Source organism: Homo sapiens, chromosome 17, assembly GCF_000001405.40.
Source record: "Homo sapiens chromosome 17, GRCh38.p14 Primary Assembly".
NCBI classification, from domain to species: Eukaryota; Metazoa; Chordata; class Mammalia; order Primates; family Hominidae; genus Homo; species Homo sapiens.
Window position 1 is genome coordinate 27,228,762 of NC_000017.11, and position 3,529 is coordinate 27,232,290.

General features: G+C 43.8%; 1 long non-coding RNA gene across 2 annotated transcripts; it reads right to left on the bottom strand.

Moving 5' to 3' along the window:
* Positions 1 to 1,422: 1,422 nt before the first annotated feature.
* LOC105371704 (uncharacterized) lies at positions 1,423 to 3,133 on the bottom strand. 2 transcript variants are annotated; one of them, XR_934632.2, is made up of 3 exons: positions 2,957 to 3,037; positions 2,468 to 2,670; positions 1,423 to 1,695 (listed from the first exon to the last, which is right to left on the bottom strand). It is a non-coding gene; the product is annotated as an uncharacterized LOC105371704 (long non-coding RNA). The 2 variants fall into 2 exon arrangements; XR_007065675.1 differs by lacking the exon at positions 1,423 to 1,695 and having other exon boundaries at positions 2,109 to 2,670; positions 2,957 to 3,133.
* Positions 3,134 to 3,529: the final 396 nt, after the last annotated feature.

A 3,529-nucleotide genomic window follows, 5' to 3' on the forward strand; every position in this document is an offset into this window, starting at 1 on the left:
TGTCTCAAAAAAAAAAAAAAAAAAAAAAAAAAAGGAAAAGAAAAAAATAGATAATCTGAGTAGTCTTGTATCTATTAAAGAAATAGACAATTGGCCAGGCGCGGTGGCTCACGCCTGTAATCCCAGCACTTTGGGAGGCCGAGGCGGGCGGATCACGAGGTCAGGAGATCGAGACCATCCTGGCTAACACAGTGAAACCCCGTCTCTACTAAAAATACAAAAAATTAGCCAGGCGAGGTAGCGGGCGCCTGTAGTCCCAGCTACTCAGGAGGCTGAGGCAGGAGAATGGTGTGAACCCCGGGGGGCGGAGCCTGCAGTGAGCCGAGATTGTGCCACTGCACTCCAGCCTGGGCGACAGCAAGACTCCGTCTCAAAAAAAAAAAAAAAGAAAAAAGAAATAGAATCTGAAGTTCAAAATCCTTCCCACAGAGAAAACTTCAGGCCCAGGTAGCTTCTCTGGTGAATTCCATCACATTTAAGGAATAACTAATACCAATTCTGCACAAACTCTTTCAGAAAATTGAAGAGGAGTTAACACTCCCCAACTCATTCTATGAGGCCAACATTATACTGTTATTAAATTCAGACAAAGACTTTGCAAGGAAAAAGAAAAGAAAGAAACAATCCCAAACCAAAAAGTTACAGACCAATACCCCTCATGACAAATATCTCTCTTAAAATGTTAGCAACATGTTCATGGATAAGATGACCTTAACAATTCTAAGATATTAATTCGCTCCCAAATTCATCTATAAATTTATGCAAGATGATTCAAAATTCCAACAGGACTTTTTCAAGTAAAAATTTTAATGAAGTATATACATACAGAAAGCTACACCAATTATTAAGTACACAGCACAATAGATTTTTGCAAAATGAATAACTCTATATAAACATGATCCAGATTAAAAAAAAAAAACTAAAGTATTATCTGCACCCCCACCCTGGAAACTAGAGAATAGCCTTGCCTATTTTGAACTCTATATAAACGGAGCATGGGCTGGGTTCCGTGGCTCACACCTGTAATCCCAACACTTTAGGAAGCCTAGATGGGCAGATCGTTTGAGCCCAGGAATTCAAGACTAGCCTGGGCAACATGGTGAAAGCCCATCTCTACAAAAAATACAAAAAAATTAGCTGGGTGTGGTGGCACATACCTGTAGTCCCAGCTACTCAGGAGGCTGAGGCAGGCAGATCTATCGAGCCCAGGAAGTCAAGGCTATAATGAGCTATGATTGTGCCACTGCACTCCAGTCTGGGCAACAGAGTGAAACCTTGTCAAAAAAAAAAAAAAAAAAGGAATATGGATGGTGTATAAAAGGAAAGTACGTAATTGAATAAAACAAGAGCAGTTCCTTGGTGATGATAACGTACCATGAATTGAGGGGTATGATGAATTCAACCCTCTCCACCTGAGAGATCTCTAAAAACCTACAAAACAAACTAGCAGAAAACATAAAGCCTTCTGGTGAGCCTACCTTATCAAGTCAAGACAAATCTGAATTCCAGTGGTAGACACAATTTAGGTTCTTCCTGCTTCCATCTCTCCACCCCCACGAGCTCCAAATAGAATGAAGTTCTTTTGGGATTAATAACATCCTAGACTGGGTGGGTGTTAGGCGCTCCTCATTCTTGTAGTTGGGCTCTTCTCATCGCTCAGTTTCTTCATCTGCTAAATGGGTTTACTTGTCCTATCTAATTCACAAGCATTTGAGGAGGAAGATCAAAATAGGGTAAGATATCTGAAAACAATTTGTGAACTATAAAGCATTGTTAAAATAAAAGCCATCATAATTATTATTTTAAAAGTTTCCCATGGCACACATTTACCTATGTAACAAACTTGCACATCCTGCACATGTACCCCTGAACTTAAAATAAAAGTCAAAGGAAAAAAAAAGTTTCAAGCAATTCCAGCCTGGATTAAAAAACAAAAAAAAACAGAAAAACTTTATTTTATAATGTGAAATATTTTAGGACAATATAAGTATTTTGATTTCTGGGGGGAAATAGGTCCCCAAATTGAACTCTTAAGTGCCATGGTTTGTGTATATTGCTTATTTCTTTATGTGTTGAACTTCAGATTACGTGTAATAAACAGTCTGTGGTGCAATGCAATTGATTTTCCTGCATTGAAAGTTGAATTAAATGTGCATTACTCTGGGGCTGGTCACCATGGGGGAAGCTTAAAAGGTCTGATGGAAAATATATGAAGACCATTAAGGCTTGCTAGGCCCCATCTCCCTTGGTTAGAAACATGAACACTAGTAGCATCAAATTCATCTCCTTTCAGCTCTGTAATCCAAGAGGGAACAGAGTTCCTCTCTTCCAGCTTCAGGGAAACACTTCAGGGAGAGGCTGATTGGCCTAGCCCGGGTCTCATTCCAAGAAGTGTGTCCAGTGGATGAGGCCAGTTATCAAAAGGGGTGGGGGAAGGATGCTGAGCAGATTAAACAGTAACATCCACCTCCTACATTTTCTGAAATGTTGATACATTCACTCAAGTTGGGGAGTTTCTCCTGCTTCTCCAGGGTGGTCGTCTTTGATTTGCAGCGTCTTTTCCTACGTTTCTCACGTGGGAGGAAGCCCCGTGGGATGGATCTGCTGCCTGGTTCAGCGAGAAGGCTTTGCGGTGCAAGCCTCCTGCGTGCTGGGTCGGCCCGCCCCCGGCTATCGAAGACAGAAGAGGAGAAGGGCTCTGTCAGGGTTCTCCCAGCACTAATTCCAGAAAAATTGGAATAGTAGCCTTTACAGTGTCTCTGTTAGGTTTCCGTTTGCTACGGTAACAGAAATATAGAGGATTTATTGGCTCCCATTGCTTAAAATGTGGGTCGCTGGTGGGGGTGGGGGATGGGATGTGGGGCAATCAGGGCTCCCGCTCTGGTTCTTGGGACTCCCCAGGCTCATCTTTCCCCTGTGCTGGCAGCAAGGTGGCTGCCACAATTCTAGGCCTCACCTGACAACATGCCCAGGAAGACAGCCTCTTCCGGCAGCGATCTCTTCAGCACCAGGGTGTAATGTCCCAGAAGCTGCCAGCAGACTTCTCCTCACATCTCAGTGACTCCAACCCCTTTGTGAACCCATCCCTGTGTCCAGGGAGACGTCATGCGTGAATCCGCTCAGGCCTGGATTCCTGAAACAATCAATGGTTAGGGATAGAAATCCGCTTAGGCCAATTGGACCAATCCCTGGTGCTGGCAATGAGGTCAGTCTTGAAGCACATGGGTTACGTGAGGGAAGGCAGGAATCTGAATGAAAGCTGGGATACTGTAGGGCAGAAGGAAATGGGTGCTGGGTAGGAAACACCTTAACGAGCATCCTCTGCCTCCTTTCCGTGTCTGATCCAAGTCCCTGCCATCCCAAACTCCGTTGGAAATTCCCCCATGAGAATCCGGGAGGGGAGATAAACTAGATGTTCACGCTCACCTTGCCATTTTATGCCCAAACCCTTACAGATCACCCAATTCAGGCCCCTCATCTTACAGATAATGAGGCTCAGAGAGGAAAATGACTGCCCAAGGTCACGCTG